The 22,762-nt window shown below is 43.3% G+C and overlaps 3 long non-coding RNA genes across 5 annotated transcripts, besides 1 other annotated feature; 2 read left to right on the forward strand and 1 right to left on the reverse strand.

The window, feature by feature from the left end:
- Positions 4,491-7,968, forward strand: LOC124903940 (uncharacterized). Its single transcript, XR_007065646.1, has 2 exons — positions 4,491-4,678; positions 5,954-7,968. It is a non-coding gene; the product is annotated as an uncharacterized LOC124903940 (long non-coding RNA).
- Positions 7,969-14,134: 6,166 nt separating this feature from the next.
- LOC124903941 (uncharacterized) lies at positions 14,135-14,884 on the reverse strand. The gene is made up of 2 exons (XR_007065647.1): positions 14,745-14,884; positions 14,135-14,579 (listed from the first exon to the last, which is right to left on the reverse strand). It is a non-coding gene; the product is annotated as an uncharacterized LOC124903941 (long non-coding RNA).
- Positions 14,271-14,630: an enhancer, noted in NCBI's record as "active region_11768". NCBI's record gives its function as "activates an Ori minimal core promoter by ATAC-STARR-seq in GM12878 lymphoblastoid cells {active_cell/tissue: GM12878}" and the evidence as "EXISTENCE:reporter gene assay evidence [ECO:0000049][PMID:35858748]".
- On the forward strand, positions 14,557-22,745 carry LOC105371554 (uncharacterized). Of its 3 annotated transcripts, XR_007065637.1 has the most exons (4): positions 14,557-14,643; positions 16,505-16,657; positions 18,356-18,447; positions 19,312-22,745. It is a non-coding gene; the product is annotated as an uncharacterized LOC105371554 (long non-coding RNA). The 3 variants fall into 3 exon arrangements; XR_934254.2 differs by having other exon boundaries at positions 14,571-15,438; positions 18,356-22,745; XR_001753079.2 differs by lacking the exon at positions 14,557-14,643 and adding an exon at positions 15,317-16,065 and having other exon boundaries at positions 18,356-22,745.

Below are 22,762 nucleotides of genomic sequence, written 5' to 3' on the forward strand. Positions count from 1 at the left end.
TGTTTAACCAGGAAGTACATTTCTGTTAGGAAGACTCTTCACTAAAGATGTGGACATCGAAGTTCAGGCAGGGCAGAGAGATTTGCCAGACTGGACTGTCCTGCCATCTAGTGGTGGGATAAGAGGATTAGCTAGCGTCCCCTCCAGCTGTGGCTGCCCTGGAGAGAACAGCAATTTTTTTGGAGGGTAAGAGAGGGAAGAGTGGTTTGGTAAATGCACCGTCATTACTTTAAGGCATAATCCATGGCAGTACGCTCTTAGTTGCTTGAGATATCTAACCAACTGTTGGGCAAAAAGCAGCATAAATTTTGGCACCTGCGAGAACACTGTAAGTTTTCTCTAAGGGGTCACCTACAAATGCCATCAGAGGTGGGACTTTGGAAATGTCGAAGTTTGGAACTCATATACTCAGAAGTCACTGGTTCTTGCTAACTTATATTGACACATCACAGTAGAGGTGGATTCTAAAGATTCACTCTAGGCCAGGCACAGTAGTTCACACCTGTAATCCTAGCAGTCTGGGAGGCCAAAGTGGGAGGATAACGTGAGTCCAGGAGTTTGAGACCAGCCTGAGCAACATAGTGACACCTCCTCTGTACTATTAAATAAAATTAGCTTGATGTGGTGGCATGCACCTGTAGTCCCAGCTACTTAGAAGCCTGGGTGCTTGAGCCCAGGAGTTCAAGATTTCAGTGAGCAGTGATTGTGCCACTGCACTCCAGCTGGGGTAACAGTGAGAGACCCTGTCTTAAAAAAAAAAATTAATTCTAGAGATGTGTTTTCTCTGATTTGATTTATTTTGGGAAACAAGTAGCTCTGAAACTAAAAAATAGTTACAGTGAAGACTCTAGAAATTCTGAAAATGATTACTGAAATTGTCCTACTGTTTCCATTTATTGGGAGCTGTATTCCTGAAATTGATGCAATAACGGAGATGTAGTGGAGAAGGGAAGCTGGGAGAAGGGGAAAGAGAAAGAGCTCAGGCTCCTCCAGAAATCATCACCTTCGGCAATAATAATAAAAAGAGTAAGAATGACAACTAACTATCAGTCAGGAGAGGTTAGGTTTTGTTATGACACTATCCCAGATAAACGATGCCGACCGACACTGGTCAAGATGGTGAACACAGGTTTTATTCAGCAATACTATGGCAGCAAGGAAGAGAGACCAGTGTGGATTGAACTCAACTTCTCCAAAACAAAAGGCTGGAGACTTTTAAAGGTGGGGTGTGCTCAGGGAAAGGCACTAAAGGTGTGAATAGGGTTAGGCCATGTCAGGCCACCTGGGTTTGTTGACTGCTGTCTATCTGAAGGACACACACACTTCTCATGTCTTTGTGACGGGGCAGTGGTGCAGGTTGGAGCAAGGTGCCCACAGTTAGGCCCTCAGCCTCCCCTACAGACTAGGAGAGACAGAATTATCTCCCTGAAGCCTTGCATTTTAAAGAGAAGACTCTCAGGTCCTGGAGGAAACAGTTTTGGGTGGTAGTTTTATATCCCAAAGAGCAAAGAAAGGCTTTATAATTGCAAGCTTTCTAAAGTGATGGCTCTACAGGGAGTTGAGGGGTGGTGGTGCAGAGCTCTATCTGCCTATCTCTTGGTATTGGCTGGAACAAACAGTCAATTCTCCTGGCAGCCTTGAGCTTTCTCGGGAAGGCCTTTATTTTAATTTTCAAAAATTTTTTTGAGACAAGGTCTCACTCTGTTACCCAGCCTGAAGTGCAGTGGCATGATCATAGCTCACTGAAGCCTCGACCTCCCGGATTCAAGTGATCCTCCCACCTCAGTCTCCCAAGCAGCTGAGACTAAAGTTGTGCTGTGCATCACCACAGCCATCTGATTAATTAATTTTTTTTTTTTTTTGTAGAGATAGGCTCTCCCTATGTTGCCCAGGCTGGTCTTGAACTCCCGGTCTCAATGGCTCCTCCCACCTCAGCCTCACAAAGTGTTCAGATTAGAGGTGTGAGCCACCATGCCCGGCCATATGCAGGCCTTTAGCTGGGATTAGGGTCATCCTAGAGACAGGGCCTTATGCTTCTAGAAGCCATGCTAGAGTTCAGTTGTCTATTAGTGCAGAAATTAGGATGGAGCCATTATATGCTGGGAGTTCTGCAGTTTTTATTTGTTTCTGGGAAAACTTTAAAAAATTGTTGAAAACATACATATCATAAAATTTATCATTTTAACAATTTTTAAATATACAGTTCAGTGGCATTAAGTGCATTCACATTGTTGGGCAACCAACACCACCCTCCACCTTCAGAATATTTTCATCTTCTCCAGCTGAAACTCTACCCCTCAAATAATAACTCCCCATTCCTCTCTCCTGCCAGCCCCTGGTAAATAACATTTTACTTTCTGTTTTTATAAATTTGATTCCTCTATCTACCTTGTGTAAGTGGAATTATACAATATTTGTCCTTTTGCAACTGGTTTATTGAACTCAGCATTACGTCCTCAAGTTTCATTCTTGTAGCACTTTCTTCAGTAGGCTAAGATTCCACTATATGGGCTGGGCTCACGCCTGTAATCCCAGAACCTTGGGAGGCTGAGGTGGGCGAATTGCCTGTGGTCAGGAGTTTGAGACCAGCCTGGCCAACATGGTGAAACCCCAACTCTATTAAAAATACAAAAATTAGCCAGGTGTGGCGGTGGGCGCCTGTAGCCCCAGCTACTTGGGAGACTGAGGCAGAAGAATTGCTTGAACCCGGGAGGCGGAGGTTGTGATGAGCCGAGATTGTGCCACTGCAAGGAGATATGACAGTTTCAGATTTGACCATGTTGGGATGATTGGGCACCCAAGTGGCTGGTTGTAGAGAACCGATCTCAAGAATGCAGGGAACCCACACAGGAAGATTAGATGATAAAAATGACCAACAAGGTAATCATCAGAGGGACAGTGTTATAAGGAAATACAGACTAGGTAGAATAACAGAGAAGGAAAAGGTAAGGAATTAGGCCAGAAAACAAGCTCTCATCACTCTAAGCTTTGATTAATGGGTCAAAACCCTAATGAGCATCTTGCCTTTCAGTTGCTTTCCCGATTCTTTTGTGCATTGCACACTGCTATAAAACCATTCTTTCTAGAGTACCAATTTCATTCCCAGTCGCAGGGGGTCATGCTTGTAATCCCAGCTACTTGGGAGGCCAAGGCAGGAGGATCGTTTGAGGCCAGGGGTTAGAGACCAGTGTTGGTAACTTAGTGAGACTCTGTGTCTTAAAAAAAAAAAAAAAAAAAAGTGAAAAAAAGATCGCCATGTCTTTAGCTAAAACTTAAAGATTTTTTAGCATAAAAGTACTATATGTTGCATAAAGAAACAGTCATGGCCGGGCACGGTGGCTCACGCCTGTAATCCCAGCATTTTGGGAGGCCAAGGTGAGTGGATCACCTGAGGTTGGGAATTTGAAACCATCCTGGCCAACATGGTGAAACCCCATCTCTACTAAAAAATACAAAAATTAGCCAGGCGTGGTGGCATGCGCCTAGTCCCAGCTACTTGGGAGGCTGAGGCAGGACACTCGCTTGAACCCTAGAGGTGGGGTTGCAGTGAGCCGCAATTACGCCACTGCATTCCAGCCTGGGCGACAGAGCGAGACTCTGTCTCAAAAAAAAAGAAAAAGAAAGAAAGAAAGAGTCATACTACTTGAATAGACATCCCTCCAAGGCATACAAATGGCCAAGAAACACATGAAAAGATGCCCAAAGTTATTAGTCATTAGAGAAAATGCAAATCAAAACCACAATGACAAACCACTTCACGCCCACGAGGATGGCTATAATAATTTTTTTAAAACAGTGCAAAATAACAAGTGTTGGCAAGGTTGTTGAGAAATTGGAACTCTCCTGCATTGCTGGTGAGAATGTAAAATGGTGCAGCCACTGTGGAAATCAGTTTGGCATTTCCCCAGTAAGTTAAGCATAGTTATATGTCCCAGCAATTCTACTTGTAGGTATGTACCCAAGAGAATTGAAAACAGGTATCCAAACTAATTTTTTTTTTTTGAGATAGAATCTCATTCTGTCCACCAGGCTGGAGTACAGTGGCATGATCACTGTTCACTGCAGCCTCGACCTCCTAGTCTTCTTCTTCTTTTTTTTTTTGAGACAGAGTTTCATTCTTGTTGCCCAGGCTGGAGTGCAATGGCGCGATCTCAGCTCGCTACAACCTCCACCTCCCGGGTTCAAGCGATTCTCCTGCCTCAGCCCCCCACGTAGCTTGGGATTACAGGCATGCACCACCATGCCCGGCTAATTTTGTATTTTTAGTAGAGACGAGGTTTCTCCATGTTGGTCAGGCTGGTCTCCAACTCCCAACCTCAGGCGATCCGCCCACTTTGGCCTCCCAAAGTGCTGGGATTACAGGCGCAACCTCCAAGTCTTAAGCTATCCTTCCATCTCATTTCCCCAAGTACTTGGGACTACAGGCAGGTGGCACCATTTCTGGCTAATTAATTTTTTTTTTTTTTGTAGATACAAGATCTTGCTATATTGCTAGGACTGGTCTCAAACTTCTGGGCTCAAGCAATCCTCCTGCCTCGGCCTCCCAGAGTACTGAGATTACAGACATGAGCCACCATGCCCTGCCTGAACAAAAATTTGAATGTGAATTTTCATAGCAACATTATTCATGATAGCCAAAAGGTGGAAAAAATCCAAACGCTCATGAACGGATGAATAGGTAAGTAAAACATGCTGTATTCATACAACGGAATATTATTCAGCAATAAAAAGGAATGAAGTGCTGATACATGTCACAACATGGATGAAGCTAAAAAATGTGCTAAGAGAATTAAGCTGGTCACAAAAAGCCACGTATTATATGATTCCATTTATATGAGATTCCCAGAATGGGTAAATCCATAGCGACAGAAAGCAGATTAATGGTTGCCAAGGTCTGGGGGAGGGGAGAGTAGGGAGTGACTCTGTAGTGTGTACGAGGCTTCTTTATGGGGTAATGAAAATGCTGTGGGACTAAGTAGTGGCAATGATTGCTCAATATTGTGAATATACCAAAAACCACTTCATGGTATACCATTAAAATAGTTAAAGTGGTGCATTTTATGCTATATGTATGTAAACACACACACACACACACACACACACACACACACACAAAGAAACACTTATAATAGGTTTTTTTGGGCAGTTGTCACCTGATAGATGATATCAGAAGAAATTAACATCACAGTATCATGGAAACTGGGACATTTTCCTATTCTGGTTGATTGATTTCTGAGCACAGTTTTGATTACAAAACATTTCAAACATACTGAAACCTATAGAAAATAAGACACCCACACATCTGTCACATAGATGTAGCAGAGGTTAACATTTTGTCAGATTTGTTTTTGGTTAAAAAAATCGAACATTACAAATACAAATTTAATCTGACACAGATACACACACATATAATAGATGCTAACAACAGGATTATTTGTCATAGTAAACTAAACAGCTGGGGAAAACCTAAGCATCCACGGGTAGGAGACGGGAGTCTGTGTTCCAAGTTGTTAAATAGGTTTCCTTAAGTGGGGGTGACAAGAAGCTGTGATGGTGAAATCACCGAGGGACTTTTATCTCTGCTTTTTTTTTTTTTTTGAGATGGAGTCTTACTCTGTCACCCAGGCTAGAGTGCAGTGGTGCAATCTTGGCTCACTGCAACCTCCGCCTCCAGGTTTCAAGCAATTCTCCTGCCTCAGCCTCCCAAGTAGCTGGGATTACAGGTGTCCGCCACCACTCCTGGCTAATTTTTTGTATTTTTAGTAGAGATGGGGTTTCTCCATGCTGTCCAGGCTGGTCTTGAACTCCTGACCTTAGGTAATCTGCCTGCCTCAGCTTCCCAAAGTGCTGGGATTACGGGCGTGAGGCACCGCGCCCGGCCTGTCACTGTTTTGCTTTAAAAATTTCAGTGATCATCCTTGACTATAAACTCCCACTTGCATTGGTTTTCTAGGGCTGCAGCAACAAAGTACCATAAACTGGGAGACTTAAAACAATAGAAATTCTTCTCTCACTGTTTGGAAGCCGGAAGTCTGAAATCAAGGCATCAGCAGGGTTGGTTCTTCTGGAGGCTCCGAGGGAGAGGCGCTCCATTCTTCCCTTCCAGCTTCTGGGGCTGCCAGCAACCCTTGGTGTGCCCCAGGTTTGCTCCCTGGTCTTTGATCACTGCTTCCATCCTTGCCTGGCCTTCTTCCTGCATGTCTTCATAGGGTGTTCTCATCTCTGTGTGTCTCCGTCCAAGTTCCCCTCATCTTACAAAGACACTAGCCATTGGATTAGAGCCCACCCTAATTCAGCAAGACCTCATCTTAACTGGATTACATCTCAAAGACCTGATTTCCAAGTAAGATCTGATTCACAAGTACGGGGATCAGGACTACAACATCATGTATCTTTTTGGGAGGACACAATTCAACCCACAACAATCAGGTACAATCAAAAACAATAAAGATACTTCCGGTGATTAAATGGTAAAAAAAAAATTAGAAAATAAAGAGAAAAGAGAACGTAAGCAAAGCCAATTCAAAGGAAGAAATAAAAATGGAGAGGAGATGAAATGGGGAGATGTCGGTCACAGCGTGCAAACTGAGTTACAAAAGGAACCAGCTCTGGATCTCAGGTGCAGCAAGGGCAGTGAGGGGTGTGTTCATTAATTTGATTCTGGTAATCATGACACAATGTATACCAATCATCATGTTGTACACCTTGAATATATGCAACCTTCATTTGACAATTAAATATTTTAAAATTAAAAAATTAAAAAAACAAGGCACATTCTGGACACTAAAATCCTGCTCCAGTGGGTACCATTCTTCCTGAATCCAGCTCCTTGATTATCCAGGAATGCCATGATTACAAGGTAAATTTTCCTGCAAATTTTTTTTTGTTAAACTGATATGTGCCGTTTAAAGTTTCTCAAACTAGTCCTTCCTTGCTCGAAAGTCTCTTGTACTTAAAACACTGGGAGGAGAGAGGCTATGGGTAATGAGAAAGGGGAGGGGAAAATATATTAAAGGTGAGACAGTTCTTTCTACATTAGATGGACTATCAGGTGACGCCATCCCATAGGCAGGTGGGAAAGACGGGAGTAGAGCCTAGAAGAGGCCACAGGACCAACACCGGGAGCTGCCCGCAGAGAATTGAGGACTGAAGTGGCCATAAACGCCAAGCTCTGCAAGGGAGTGACCACAGAGAGAAAAGAGCAGAGGGTGGACCATGAAATCCTCAGGAGAACCTTGGAAAGGGGAACAGGGAAGAACTGATGTGAAGATGCCAGATGGGGGGTGGGGACCTGAGCTAGGCAGGTCTCCAAAGTGAGTGGAGGCAGCAGTGTCAGGGGAAGGGAAGTCCACACCACATCCTACACACGCGATGTCAACAAAGTCAGAGAAGAGGTGAGGAGCCAAAGACCCTACAATGTCACTGGGTTCAGCTGGGAAGTTGGTGTTGATTAGAAGAGAGTACTTTGGCGGACTGAGGGAATTAGCGTTGACAAGTAGAAAGAACTCCTATAATTTGATAAAGACTCTGCTTGACCAAACTTTAGTCAGGCTCCTGAAACTTGTCCTGGGCTCATCTGTGCGGTTACTTGTAAATCTAGTTTTAGCAAAGAACCCGGCCAAGTCCGTTCAGCCAGTGCCGCCAGCCTCTACGCTCTGATCACCTGGATATCTGATCAGATTCCTCACTCTCCACCATCTCCCAGGTAATGTTGGGTCACCCTGGACTGTCTTCAGCCAGAGTCCCGTTAGGTGTGTTTAGCCTGAATACTCCTTACCTGTAATGTTTCCTTTTAGTAATTTTCCACCCACTGACTGCCACCCTGCTCCTTGGTTATAAACTCCCACTTGCCCAGGCAGTATTCAGAGTTGAGCCCAATCTCTGTCTCTCACCCACTCCAAGACCCCGTTGAGCGGTCCCTATGCCCATCCACATGGTCCTGAATAAAGTCTTCCTTACTGTGCTTTAGCAAGTGTCGTTGAATTATTTTTTCCTTAACAAATTCAATATGAAAAAGAAGACTCAATAGAAAGATGGGCAAAGTATATAAAACAACACCTACAATAGACTTCTTTCCAGTAGTTACAGTGAATAAACAGGAGCTATAGGAATCCACATGGATAAATCTGAAAAAGACGAGATAAGACAAATTGCAGAAAGAAATGCACAATCTGGTACTTAAAGTTTTTAAATTTTCATTTTTTACTTAACAGGTGAAATTTCACATATTATTTGTATATACATGCACATATAAAAGTGTAAAGACATTTAAAAAGTGGTTACACGTACAGAAAAAGACAAGGGAATGAGATTCAGGCAGGAGAGGTTCATAGGGGATTTTAATTGTATCTATCATGTTTTAAAAACATTTTACATTTGATTAAGGATATTAGACATCATAAAATAAGCCAGCCTGCTATTTTTGGTATCTAATGAAAATCTCTTTCTTGGTCAGGCATTGTGGCTCACGCCTGTAATCCCAGCACTTTGGGAGGCCGAGGCGGGTGGATCACTTGAGGCCAGGAGTTTGAGACTAGCCTGGCCAACATGGCAAAAAGTGAAAATTGTATTTTTTCTCTTCTTGGGGACCTTCAGCTGTAACAGAAGAGAGAAGAGCTGACTTCTGGAATTAACCAAATGTGAGAGGTCCAGGTTTAGATGCATCTGGGAAGGTGGGGGGCTGCGCAGAGGGACACTGTGTTTAAATTTGTCTTGTTACATCTGGCTGACAGCCTGGCCAAAGCTACAACATTCCTGATCACACAGGTCCATTGTGACTGCATTACGGTCTCATTGCAATTTCCGCAGCCCTGAGGGCCGGCTGGAATTGCCACCAGGGAAGTTAGAGAAACTAGAAGGTGCTTTGTTCCTGGGGCTGGACTTTTCTACTGGAGTTAATATTCAGAAACTCTGGAAATGAGACTGAATCAAATTTCCAAATCCAAATCAAGTTAATTGTACTCCCTATTCTCTTTTACAAATTATCAGCAGCATGCATTAGAGCTGTCAAATCTTTACCCACTTGATGGAAAAGACCAACAAAGCTGCTCTTTTTGAACATTGCTGATTTTTATTTGCTTTTACTTTTTCTAGCCATAACAAGAGATTTTCTCAGAATGCCTTATACTTGGTAAAAAGATTTTTACAGACTTACAGATGTGCTTTTCTCTTAGATGAAGTGTGATTGGATAAACAGTGAACTACTCAATTTTATTTCAATTCTCCAGCATGAAGCCATTGAAAAATACAAAAATTGCATTTTTTAATTTTTTTGAGATGGAATCTCGCCCTGTCGCCCAGGCTGGAGTGGAGTGGCACGATCTCGGCTCACTGCAAGCTCCGCCTCCCAGGTTCACGCCATTCTCCTGCCTCAGCCTCCCAAGTAGCTGGGACTACAGGCACCCACCACCACGCTTGGCTAATTTTTTGTATTTTTAGTAGAGACGGGATTTCAGGATTTCACTGTGTTAACCAGGATGGTCTTGATCTCTTGACCTCATGATCCACCAGCCTTGGCCTCCCAAGGTGCTGGGATTACAGGCGTGAGCCACCGCGCCCAGCTGAAAATTTCATTTTAAACATTCCCTTAATTTTCTTACAAGTTTAAATATCTGAAACATGAAAAGCTGCAAATATCTACATTCATTGTACATCATAAATATTTTATTACTCCTTCGAGCTGCCATTTCTATGATGTACATAAGAGGAATCCCCGGAGCACAGAAAATGATGAGAAAGTTTAAGCCAAGTTCAACATGAAAATGATTGGCTTATTTTCCTTTAAACCTCATGGCACCCAAGACGCAGCTTCATGCGCACCTTGTTATTGTTGCTCACAAACCCACCGGTCACTCTGCTTCCCACTTATCTTCTAGAGACTTTTGTTCACAAACCCCAAGCCTTAGCTTCATGCTCCATGAAGTCAATGTCCACAGGATGATAGTTCCACTTGCCCTGCTGTTCTTTGAACCTCTTATCTCCACCCCCCGCCCCCCACCCACCCCCACACACACACACACACACACACACACACACTGGCATCCCCATGCCTCACCAGCACCAGCACCTCTACCTCTGGAACATTCACCCCAGACATCTCCTCTCACCACCACCAGTACGTCAGCTACTTGCTCGAGAACTCATAATATTCAAATCCTTTTACCCCTGGGAGAGCTCTGTCCTGAGTGCACATGTTCCTGTTGCCAGAAAAGAGGGTCCCGATCCAGACCCCAAGAGCAGGTTCTTGGATTTCACGTAGGAAAGAATTCAGAGTGAATCACAGAGCACGGTGAAAGAAGCAAGTTTATTGGAAACTACCCTGTTACAGAGTAGGGCATCCTCAGAAAGCAGGAGGAGGAATGCATCGTCCTTTGTTAGTGCTTCTACTTGTAAGAAACTTCAAGGAAGCCAGGCGCAGTGGCTCACACCTGTAATCCCAGCACTTTGGGAGACCAAGGCGGATCACCTGAGGTCAGGAGTTCGAGACCAGGCTGGGCAACATGGTGAAACTCCATTTCTACTAAAAATACAACAATATAGCCGGGTGTGGTGGCGTGAGCCTGTAGTCCCAGCTACTCCGGAGGCTGAGGCAGTTGAATCGCTTGAACCTGGGAGATGGAAGTTGCAGTGAGCCGAGATCATGCCACTGCACTCCAGCCTGGGCAACAGAGCAAGACTCTGTCTCAAAAATAAAAAGAAACTACAAGGAGCTATGACTAAACTTGGGACGTGCCTACGTACTCACTAAAGGTAGGGGCTATAGGCATTATCGATTTTACATGACCATTATAATCCTTCAACCTAAGCCTGTTCATTGGCATTATCTCCAAGTAAAGAGCGCTGCATTCCGGCCGGGCGCAGTGGCTCACGCCTGTAATCACAACGCTTTGGGAGGCCGAGGTGGGCGGATCATGAGGTCAGGAGATTGAAACATGGTGAAACCCTGTCTCTACTAAAAATACAAAAAATTAGCTGGGCGTGGTGGCATGAACCTGTAGTCCCAGCTACTGGGGAGGCTGAGGCAGGAGAATCGCTTGAATCCGGGAGGTGGAGGTTGCAGTGAGCTGAGATTGCGCCACTGCACTCCAGCCTGGGCGACAGAGCAAGACTCCATCTCAAAAAACAAACAAGCAAAAAGAGTGCTGCATTCTGAGGACATCTGGCAAGCTTGTCCAACCCATTTGATTTTGTTGTTGTGTTGTTCTGTTTTGTTTTATTTTGTTTTAGGCTTTTAGCAGCCTGAAGCCACGGTTTTTAGTTTCTGTCTCTAGTGATAAGCGGAAAAGAATGAGGAAGGGGCTTTACTGGCCCAACCAGAAACAGAAACTAAGAACCCATGACTGGGCTGGGAGAGGTGGCTCACGCCTATAATCCCAGTACTTTGGGAGGCCAAGGCGGGCAGATCATGAGGTCAGGAGATTGAGACCAGCCTGGCCAATATGGAAACCCATCTCTAATAAAAATACAAAAATTAGCTGTGTGTGGTGGCGGGCACCTGTAGTCTCAGTTACTCTGGAGGCTGAGGCAGAAGAATTGCTCAAACCCAGGAGGTGGAGGTTGCAGTGAGCCGAGATCGTGCCACTGCCCTCTAGCCTCGGCAATAGAGCAAGACCCTGTGCAAGACCCAGGCTGGAGTGCAGTGGTGTGATCATGGCTCACTGCAGCCTCAAACTCCTGGCTCAAGGGATTCTCCTGCCTCAGCCTTTCAAGTAGCTAGGACTACAAGTGTAGGCCTGCATACTCAGCTAATTTTTATTTTTCTATTTTTTTTTTGTAGATATGGGGTCTTGCTGTGTTACCCAGGCTGGTCATGAACTCCTGGCCTCAAGGGACCCTCCCACCTTGGCCTCCCAAAGTGCTGGGATTACAGATGTGAGCCACCATGCCTGCCCTAATCACATTCTTTAAACTGTGTATACTTTTACTGATTTTTTAAATCTGTTTATTTTACCAGTTACTGACAGAGGTATGTTATCATATTATGATTCAGGATTTACTTTTCCTTTCAATTCTGACAGTTTCTGCTTTATATATTTTGAGATTAAGTTATTGGGTACATTTTAAAGGTGCAGTTATGATTATCTAGTGGATTAATGCTTGTATCATATTATTCTTCATTTCTAGTAATGCTTCTTGCCTTAAAATGTATTTTGCATGATATTAATATAGCAACATTAACTTTCGATTAGGGTTTGTGTGGTATACCTTTTCTCCATGCTTTCACTTTCTACTTTTTGTGCCCTGAAATTTACAATGCATCTTTTATAAACAAAGTAAGTTTTAAAAAATTCAGTCTGACAGTCTTTGATCTTCTCTTATTTATCCATTTATGTTTAATATAATTACAAATGTGTTTGGGTTTAAGTCTACCTTCTTGCTATTTGTTTTCTATTTGTCCCACCTTATCTATGTTTCTTTCTCTCTCCTTATTTTCCACCTTTTGGAAATTCTCCAAATGTTTGTCATTAAAGGACTGCTTGGATACACTGTAGAACAACCAAACAATATAGTAATATGCAACTGTAAAAAGGAATGAGAAATATCTCTGTGATCCTTAGGATTTATTTTTATGTGGGAAAAACAAGATGGATGGATGCGTGAATAGTATGCTACAGTTTAAGAGAGAATGGAAGGGATAGAAATATATATGTACACATTTGTTTATGCTAAAAAGTGGAAGAATAAACCATAAAATTTAAAAGTGATTAGCTACAGGAGAGGGAGTGAACTGGGTAGAGGGCATAGGAATAGAAGTTGGGTTTCTCTAATGTACTTTGTTTTGTGGATTCTACTTTGATAGCATAAAAAACTTTTCCTAGTTTTAAAACCAAAATATATTAAAGAAAAAACAATCCATAAACCTTGAAAGTACAATGAAACAAAGGAACTTGTGTGTATTAGTTTCTTGTGGCCACTGTACAAAGCACCACAAACTTGGTGTCTTGGAACACTTTCTCAGTTTGGGAGGCAAGAAATCTGCAATCAGTTTCACTGGGCCAAAATCAAAATGTTGTCAGGGCCATGCTCCCTCCAAAGGCTCTAGGGTAAAATCCATTCCTTGCCTCTTCCGGTTTCTGATTACTGGCATTTCTTGGTTAATGACTGCATCACTCCAATATGTGCCTCTGTGGTCACATTATCATCTTCTCCCCTGTTAAATTTTCTTCTGCCTGTCTCTTATAAGGCATTTGTAATTTCATACAGAGCTCCCCAGGAAAAACAGGATAACCTCCCCATCTCAAGATCCCTAATTATGCACACCTAAAATCCATTCTGACATTATAAAGTAACATTCACAAGTTCTAAGGATTAGGACCTGGATATCTTTGGGGGCCATCATATGGTCTACTACACTGTGGAGTTGGTGTTATAACACCCAGAGAAAAATTATTCCAAGTTACTTTAAGTTTCATTGACTTGACTGTACATCTCTAGTAGGGTATACTCTAAGGACAAAAATAATTTTTAAAAAATCTTAAACTTTTCCATAATAATGGTGGTGGTACTATTATAATTGTTCTGAAATTTTTAAAAATGTGTGTATTGTTTGATAAAGTAAATGAGTAATTATATTGGCATAACTGATAATATTTGGGTTTCCAACATTGGAGAATAGAGATACAGATATAAGACTGATGAGGTTAAGTAAAAATCCTGTTGCTTGAATTTGAATTGGGAGTATCGGTTTGAACTGTAGCTCTATTTGGGAGAGGTCTAGACACATCACTATTCAACACTGATGAGTAGCCCTTGCACCTAGATTGTGGTTTGTAAATACCATCTCCCACCAAAAGGAACCAGGGCCTCCTGAAGAAATCATTAAATCTAGGTATGGGGAAAGAAGTGTGCCAGTTGAACCTCGTATACCTTATCATTTCAGAAAACAAAGAAGTATTGACAACTAGGGTGATGTTAAAGGCCTCAGGAATCAACCTAAAAAGGCTTCCACAGGTCAAAGACGGAACAATTTGAGTATCAATAGGAATAATAACTACAAGGATTTGAAACACACGTCACATGAATTTGTTATATAACAACACTTAAGAAGCAAGCAAATAAACAACTAAATAAACAAAACCTCATTGGTCAGTTTGAGTATCCTAGGGAACAAATTATTAATTTGAAAGATGTTAAATAAAGGAATAAAGCAAGCATTTATTATTGCCAGTGTGTGGGTGCGCACCCAAGGCAGCGCGCGACACATTCCGCTGCCGATCTCCCCCTTGGGGTGGGAAGATCTTACAAACTGCATGTCTCTCCCACTTAAATTCGTAGTCAGCCTTAAATAAACCCGGCCGCCTTCACCACAACACCGCCACCGAGACCGGTAGGGCCTGCCTCAGCATCCGCCACGCCTTCTCGTACCCCGGAAGGGTGCGTGCGCGCTCTCGGAGATAGGGGTCTTCAGCCGTGCGCGTGTGGAGCAGGGCCACGGCGCCTGCGCAGCGGAGGCTGTGGACCACATTTCCCAAGAACACTGCGTTCCTGGGCCCGCCCAGTGTCCCAGAGTCCCTTTCGAGGCGGAAGCTGGGCTCCTCCCTGCGTCTCTTTCTGGGCCGTGGAGCTGTCCGCTCTGAAACCTGAGGAAGTCGTAGTTCAGGGAGGGGTAGCTCTTGCACCTAGGCCGTTAGGAACGAGTTTTAGGTTCGAATCCCATCTTATGGAAGGTGGTATTGGTCCCTTGGGTGTCCCACCCGTCTCAGCCAAACTGCGGGCCATTTCCCGGGGCGAGCAAGGGGAGTTACCGCGCCAGTGGGTGGACTCGCCGCCTCTCGGAGTCGGGAGGAAGTCGAGCTGGGGTGCAGTTACGAGTCTCAGTTAATAATGAATAGGGTGGCCAATGGTGGGCCAGGCACAGTGGCTCACGCCTGTAATCCCAGCACTTTGGGAGGCCGAGGCGGGCGGATCACGAGGTTAGGAGATAAGAGACCAGCCTGGCTAATATGGTGAAACCTCGTCTTTACTAAAAATAAAAAAATTAGCTGGGCATGGTGGCGGGCGCCTGTAGTCCCGGCTACTCGGGAGGCTGTGGCAGGAGAATCGCTTGAACCGAGGAGGCAGAGGTTGCAGTGAGCCGACATCGCGCCACTGCACTCCAGCATGGCGACAAAGCGAGACTACGTCTCAAACAAACAAACAAACAAACAAACAAAAAAAACAAAAAGAAAAGGAAAAAAAAGGGTGGCCAATATAGTGAAACCCCCTCTCTACTAAAAATACAAAAATTAGCTGGGCGTGGTGGCGCGCGCCTGTAGTCCCAGCTACTCGGGAGGCTGAGGCAGAAGAATCGCTTGAAGCCGGGAGGCAAAGGTTGCAGTGACCCGAGATTGCGCTACTGCACTCCAGCCTGGGCGACAGAGCGAGGTTCCGTCTCGAAAAAAAAAACAACGAAAAGGGGACTCACTTCGGAGAAGCTGCCCTCTCTGCAAACTTATTTGAGTAAGGGACTGAAGACTGAAGTTAGGGAGAGGAAAGGGATACACGTCTGTTAGTGCGAGTTGCGTGTCTTGTTAGTGCGAACTGGAACCCAAGTTTCCTTTGGGAAGACTTTGGCGAAAGAGTACAGGAACACCAGCCACTCCAGAAAGAGACCGCTCCTCTTGAACCCGCCCACTTAACTCCTCCCGCAGGCTCTACGTTCGAATGCCTCCACCCTGATTTTAGAAGGTTATAGGCGCACAATCAAGGAAATGTCGACAGAGGGCGTCCTTGCTCTAAGCAGCATTGTCCACCTGCTTCCTGAGCGGGGTTCAGTGATTATTCTCTGAACCTGGACTTCTGGCGTTGTGCCTCTATACTCCATTTCCCTGCTTCAAAGCTCTCCTAATTGACTTTATTTTCTGACACTCCCCCACTTTACCCCCCAGGAGTGTTGCTTCTTTTATTTCTTTGCCTGGATGGTCGTTTGGCTTAGTAAATAGACCTAGACCCCACCCCATGGTGTAGAAGCAGTTGGTGAACTTCTATAAAGGGCCAGACAGTACACATTTTAGGCTCTGCGATCTCCTTATGGTTGAAAGTTCTACTGTTGTAGCACAAAATCAGCCTTGGACAGTAAGCAAATAGGTGTGGCTGTGTTCCAACAAAACTTCACTGAAATTTGAATTTCACTGTAATTTTCACGTGTCACGAAATATTTTAACCGTTTAAAAATGTAAAAATAATGTGTGTGTGTGTGCGCGCGCGTGTTAGCTTGGGCCGCCAGCTAGCAGTAGTTTGCCAATTCTTGGTAGAGAAAGAGAGCAGTCTCCACCTAGGTCTGGGAATTCAGGGAGAGAGGTGCTGGCCAAAATAACAGTTCATGGCCTGCTTTTCTAGATCTGGGAGTGAGTAGGACTACTACTAGACTCTCATTTGACCTCTCCTTTGGGAATCGCAGGGTATATAGTGCCCACTGATTGGTGGGAATTTTGTCAAGGTGGGTGTGATAATCTGGCTTCTTTCCCTTCCCAGCTCTTTATAGTCTTTCTTTCTTTTTTATCGTTCTCTCCCTCTCTCTCTTTAGAGATGTGGTCTTGCTATGTTGCCCGGGCTGAGTGCAGTGACTATTCACAGGCCGGATCTAGTGCACTGCAGTCTTGAACTCCTGGCTTACAGTCCTGCTGGTTCTGAGAGGCAGGGGAAGAAACGGCCACCATGCTCTGCAGCTAGGTCTCAGGTAGGTTTGGGCCATCTCTCTTCTCTGGTTTCTAGGCACATCTCAACTCAGGATGCACCTTTCCAGGGAGAGGTGCATCCTGAGTTGAGGTAAGTATTCATCCTGGTTGCAAGATGAATACTTTTCATTCTTCCACTACACAGTCATTTTAAAGTTAAGTTTCATCTATGATGGGTATTCTGGGTCCTAGAAGAGAGGTGGTACCTGGGTCAGTCCCTTTCCAGTCTGCAGTCTAACACATACAGATTAAATGAATGTGAAAATAAAAAAATGCTTTGTAATTACAAAGCACTCTGCAAATACAAATGTTGCAGTAAAGAAAAAAAGTATGGTTGACATCTTTCTTTATTCTAGAAAGTGCAAATCTATCTTTTTTGAATACTTAGCACTTCTCTGAACTACTGTATCTTGCCAGCACTTTGCACAGTGCATATTAGAATAACACATTCAGTCAATATTTATTGAGTGCCTACTTGCCTATTATGCATCTCTTAGTGCCTTTCTGGTTTTTATTTTTATTTTTATTTTTTTGAGACTCAGTCTCACTGTGTCACCCCAGGCTGGAGTGCGGTGGCGTGATCTCGGCTCACTGCAACCTCCTCCTCCTGGGTTCAAGTGATTCTCCTGCCTCAGCCTTCCGAGTAGCTAGCACTACAGGCACGTGTGCCACCATGTCCGGCTAATTTTTTGTATTTTAGTAGAGACGGGGTTTCACCGTGTTGGCCAGGATGGTCTCGATCTCCTGACCTCGTGATCCGCCCACCTCGGCCTCCCAAAGTGCTGGGATTACAGGCGTGAGCCACGGTGCCTGGCCATGTTCTGCATTTCACCCAACCACAGATTGGAAATATTGAGCAGAAAACCCTCAAAATAATGCAATAGAAAATGTAAAACTATCTACATGGTATTTACATTGTATTAGGTATTATAAGTAATCTAGAGATGATTTAAAGTATTTGGGAGAATGTACATCAGTTATATGCAAATACTATGCCATTTTTATATCAGCTACTTGAGCATCCAAGGATTTTGGTATCCATGGGAGTCCTAGAACCAATCCTGGAACCAATAATGAGGGATGACTCTAATGTAAAATATAGTGCTCAGCATGAATATTCCAGGTATAGTTTAAAATCAGTTTACAGTGGAGAGCATTACTTTTCAATTTCTGGATGCAGATCTTATTTTGATATGGCCCAAAATTGTTCTTCAAGAAAAAACCTCTACTCTTGTAGGCATGAAACAGCCAACTTTCTTGTAAGACCAATAGGACTAAAATGATTATTGGTGAATAAGAGAGTGGCTCCTAGCTCCCCTGTCAAAGTTATAATAAATTTAGAAAGAAGAGGTTTGGGGATGAAAACAATTTAGTTTTAGGTTAAACCACATAAGGTACTTATGAGATAGTTCTGAGTGATCACTGACTATATGGCTTTGAAACTTGGGATAGATCTGAGTGAAAAATTGGTAGGAGGAGGTGCATCCTGAATTGAGATGTTCTCATTTAAACATTTGAATTTAAGAAACTGTATGGGAGGGGGACCTCTTTTGGCTTTGGAGCCTCCCACCACCCCCGTCTCTGTACAAGGGAGGTGCTTATTTCTTCCTTCTCCCTTCTTTCTTTCCTCTTCTTGCCTATTAAACTATCTGCCCCTTAAAACCACTCCACATATGTCCATGTTGTTTTATCTAAACCAGCATGAGGACCAAGAACCCTGGTGTTCCTCCACTCATCGGAGCCGTATCATTTTGGTGCATTGGCCAGGAAAGGAAATTCAATCATGAGACTGGTGAGTATGGAGCGGATTTCAACTTTATATCTGTTCTTTAGTCTCAAGGCTCTCTTCCAGCTACCCTGTCGCCAAAACTTTCTTTCTATCTGTGGTCTCTCTGTGTGTCTAATGTGCAGGATTCTGTCTGTTAGAAAAGATCGTGAATCACGGCATGCAGTAACTCAATAAGTGTCTCTCTCTCTCTCTACGTTTTCTCTGGCAAGCACATGGTATTTCTAAGCCACCTAGTAGAAATCAGGCTGTAGGCCTCTTCTAAGAATGGGAAGTTTCTGCTTTTAACAGTTAGGAGTAGGATGTCTTCCATGGCCAAATTTTAGTCTCAATATTGTCCCACTGGCAGGAAAACGGCCATTCAGTTCCTATGTTCCTTTAAGCCATCTATTCTGGCTCCTACTAAGACAGTGCTTAATTAGTAAGGGGATTTTAAGTCCAGAAGTTAACCGGAACCATTCTTCTATGGGTAAATGCTTTAGCATGGGCTATAATGGCAGGATATAGAGTTCAATCTATCACATCCCCTCCCTTAAAGGGTCTCTTCCCAATTACATGGTTTTTCTTCAAATCCATTTTTTGGGAGGCACACAGGCCACCCAAGTCTAGGAGGTCAAAGGTAAATAAAAGGCAGAGAACTGATTGCTTGGGAACAGCGTGACTATGGCCCAAAACTCAGATCCTCTGGTGCCATGGCTTGGAGGGTCACACCTGCAGTCATGGGTGGAACATTTAAATGAGTGCTGGGAATCCAGGAACAAAAGAGAAAATAGTTGGGGGACGCCTCCTACTGCTTTCTTCTCCATCCTGGATTTCATACCAAAAGGAAGGAGACTAAAAGGACGCTTTTATTCTCACTTCTCTTTCTAGATGGGTAACAGACCATCTTCAACATGCACTTCTCTTGAGTGTATTTTGAAGCACTAGGACTCTTTCGACCTTGAAACTTTGAAGAAAAAGTGGCTTATTTTCTTTTGCAGTCATATCAGGCAGGCCCAGGGAAAACAGTACCCCAAAATTTAAAAAGTAACTTTCAGGGAAGTCATCTGAGGGTCCCCCTTATTTGGGGCCCCTTCAAGTTCCCTTCTCATTGCAGGACCTTTGGCAAGTAAAGGGAGACTTAGGCTGGTTTTCTGATGACCTTAATAAGTATATGGAAGCTTTCCAATATTTAACTCAGGTATGTAACCTCTCATGAAGGGATGTTATGTTGCTGCTAAGGCAAACCCTTACTGTAGGTAAAATAAGCAGCTCTGCAAGCAGAAGAAAATTTTGGAGATAAGTAATGTCTCCTATAGAAGGCCAAAAGGGAAAAGAAAAAAATAGGGAAGGCAAAGGGGAAACACCATTCCCAATAGGAAAAGAGGCAATACCTCCTGACAACCCTAATTGGAACTCCTTTCTGTGGTGTTTTTCCTTGTTTTGCAGTTTAAAATGGCTTCTCTTTTATAATGTTCTTCCAACATGGAAAAGGTTAATTTTCCAAACCTTAAAATGTTTGGCATAGAGTTGAGCTAGGGGGAAGGAAACCCAGCCCAGAAGCCTGATATGCTGGCAAAAGGGTAAAAATTTCTTACCAGTCAGGCTTTTGGCTTCTCTCTTCCTGTGGAAACCGGCAAAAGGGATAATAAAGATCATTGTTTATGTTTTCTTTAAATTTATAGTTAATGAAAAAGGATTTGTGAGGTTGGTCTTAAGCTGTAAACAATCTGCTCTTCTTTGTATGTCTTTCTGTGTGGTTCTGTTAAAGAAAAGGTATCTTAGGTCAGGATGCAGGCCCAGAAACCCATAAGCCTGCTGTTCAAACCAGCCCAGCAAAGTATCCAGTGGCAAACTTGGCTACAGGCCTCCATCTTGTTTCATGTCATGGGAACATAATCTGTAACCATGTGGCAATACTTTGTTTTTGTCTCCGCCATTTTACAATGGTGGCTGTCTTCTTGTGCTAAATCAGATAAGCCAGTTTGTCAGTCTGGGCTGTGTCAGCTGATCCATCAAGGGCAGGGTTTACAAAACATCTTAAGCACTGATCATAACAGCCGTTTAGGGAGGGTCAAAATCTTGTAGCCTCCAATTGCATGGCTCTTGGGCCATGGTTTCTAATCCTGTAGCTAGTTTCTTGGTCTGGTCCCCAGGCAAAAGGGAAGTATATCTTGAGAAGCAGCTGCTATCTTCTTTGTTTTAGACTATAAACTGTAAACCAAGCTCCTCCCCAACTTGATTCAGCCTATGCCCGGGGATGGGCAAGGACAGTTTGGGGACTGGAAACAAAATGGAGTTGTTTGGGTGAGATCTCTTCCACTGTCTCAGTCACAATTTTGCAGTGACAGTTTCAAAAGCTGCCTGTCCGGGTGGATCACGAGGTCAGGAGTTCAAGACCAGCCTAGTCAACATGACGAAACCCTGTCTCTACTAAAAAAACAAAAATTAGCCAGGCGTGGTGGCATGCACCTGTAGTCCTGGCTACTCAGGAAGCTGAGGCAGAGGAATTGCTTGAACCCAGGAGGCAGAGGTTGCAGTGAGCCAAGATCATGCTACTGCACTCCAGCCTGGGTGACAGAGCAAGACTCTGTCTCAGCAAAAAAAAAAAAAAAAAAAAAAAGCTGCCTGTCACTCCTTTAAAAATACCTTTTACACTCCTGGTTAAGTCATAACCTAATTAAAGCTCTTTAGTTTTACCTGTGAGGTTACTTATTGTAAAGTTCAAAAGCCAAAAATCTTAACTGCTTGGCATGGCTAAGGTCAAGTAACAAAGGATTTAGAAGAATTTTCTTAAAGAGTGCTCAGCTTAATTAAAAGTGGAAAATCAAGTTATAGGTATATTAAAAGGCCTTTATGTTTTTTCTTTTCTTGAATCTTGTTTTTCTGGAAAAAGGCTCATCTCAGCCGACTGAATTATTTTTCTCCATTTTTTGTCTTACTACTCTTAATGCATGTATAAAAGGCCCTAAGATAACTTCTGGTAGCATGGGACTCCTCAGGAAACACAGAGGAGGCGCCACAGACCCCGTTTTGGGAAAAAACCCTCTGTTTTCCTCATGAAACCCCAGGAATTAAAAGCAAATAATTCCCTCTCAAAATCAAAGGCTCTGTTCTGTTTTGCATTGTGTTATCTGATGGTTTTGAGTTTTGGGGGTATCAGAAATTACTTCGCATTTTTACAAGAAAGCTTTGGTGTGTAATAATCAAGTAGAAAATACACTGTAAGGGATGGCTAATAGTAGTTATAAATCAGGGATGCTCTTGGCCACCTGGAAGATAAGGAAACATCCTCACCCTGCACTGGGAGATGAGACTCCCATCAGGGATGGGCTAATTACAAAATAAGCCAATTGGCTTTGGGCTGCCTTGCAATGCAATGCATGGTAGAAGCACTACACCGTCCTCTCCCATAGTATCTATATGGTCTTTTCATAAATTAAGCATTAAAATAAAAGCATAGCAAGGAGGTCTTAAGACACTAATCTGCCCCTTAGTAAAAGGGTTATAAAAGGTTTGTAAAGATTTCACCTTGGCCGGGTGCGGTGGCTCACACCTGTAACCCCAGCACTTTGGGAGGCCGAGGCGGGCAGATCACCTGAGGTCGGGAGTTCGAGACCAGGCTGACAAACATGGAGAAGCCCCGTTTCTACTAAAAATACAAAATTAGCCAGGGGTGGTGGCACATGCCTGTAATCCCAGCTACTTGGGAGGCTGAGGCAGGAGAATCGCTTGAACCTGGGAGGCGGAGGTTGCAGTGAGCTGAGATCATGCCCTTGCACTCTAGCCTGTGCAACAAGAATGAAACTCCATCTCAAAAAAAAAAGAAAAAAAAAGATTTCACCTCATGGTCAAATTGGTTAGGATTTGATGGAATAATCTATAAGGTTTCGTGTAAACAAATTGGGGTTAACATTAATAAACTAATGCAAGGGTAAAATTTTGCTTTGAACAAGATTTTCATTTCATAATAAAGGCTAATGAAAGGATTTTGCCTTTTGAGTCATCATTTTGGCAAAATAATTTATGGCAATCTGGAAATTGTCCTTCCTGATACCTAACTTTTTGAATGGTTTAGAGGGGCCCTGAAACATTCAGAAAAGAGGTAAACAGGATTATTTGACATGTTTAGTCACATGAGATTGCCAAAATGATGTCCAATCTTATTTAAGTTATAGTTTGGTGAATAATACTAATATATGTTTCAGAATTGTATGGGATTTCTAAGATTCTAATGTCTAAGTATATGCTATCAATCATAATTAAGGGTAAAGTTATTGTAAACCATGAAGATAAATAAACTTCTTTGTCAGTCATGTTTTTAACTATCCTGAAAATTTTG

This window comes from Homo sapiens, chromosome 17, assembly GCF_000001405.40.
Source record: "Homo sapiens chromosome 17, GRCh38.p14 Primary Assembly".
Taxonomy (NCBI): Eukaryota; Metazoa; Chordata; class Mammalia; order Primates; family Hominidae; genus Homo; species Homo sapiens.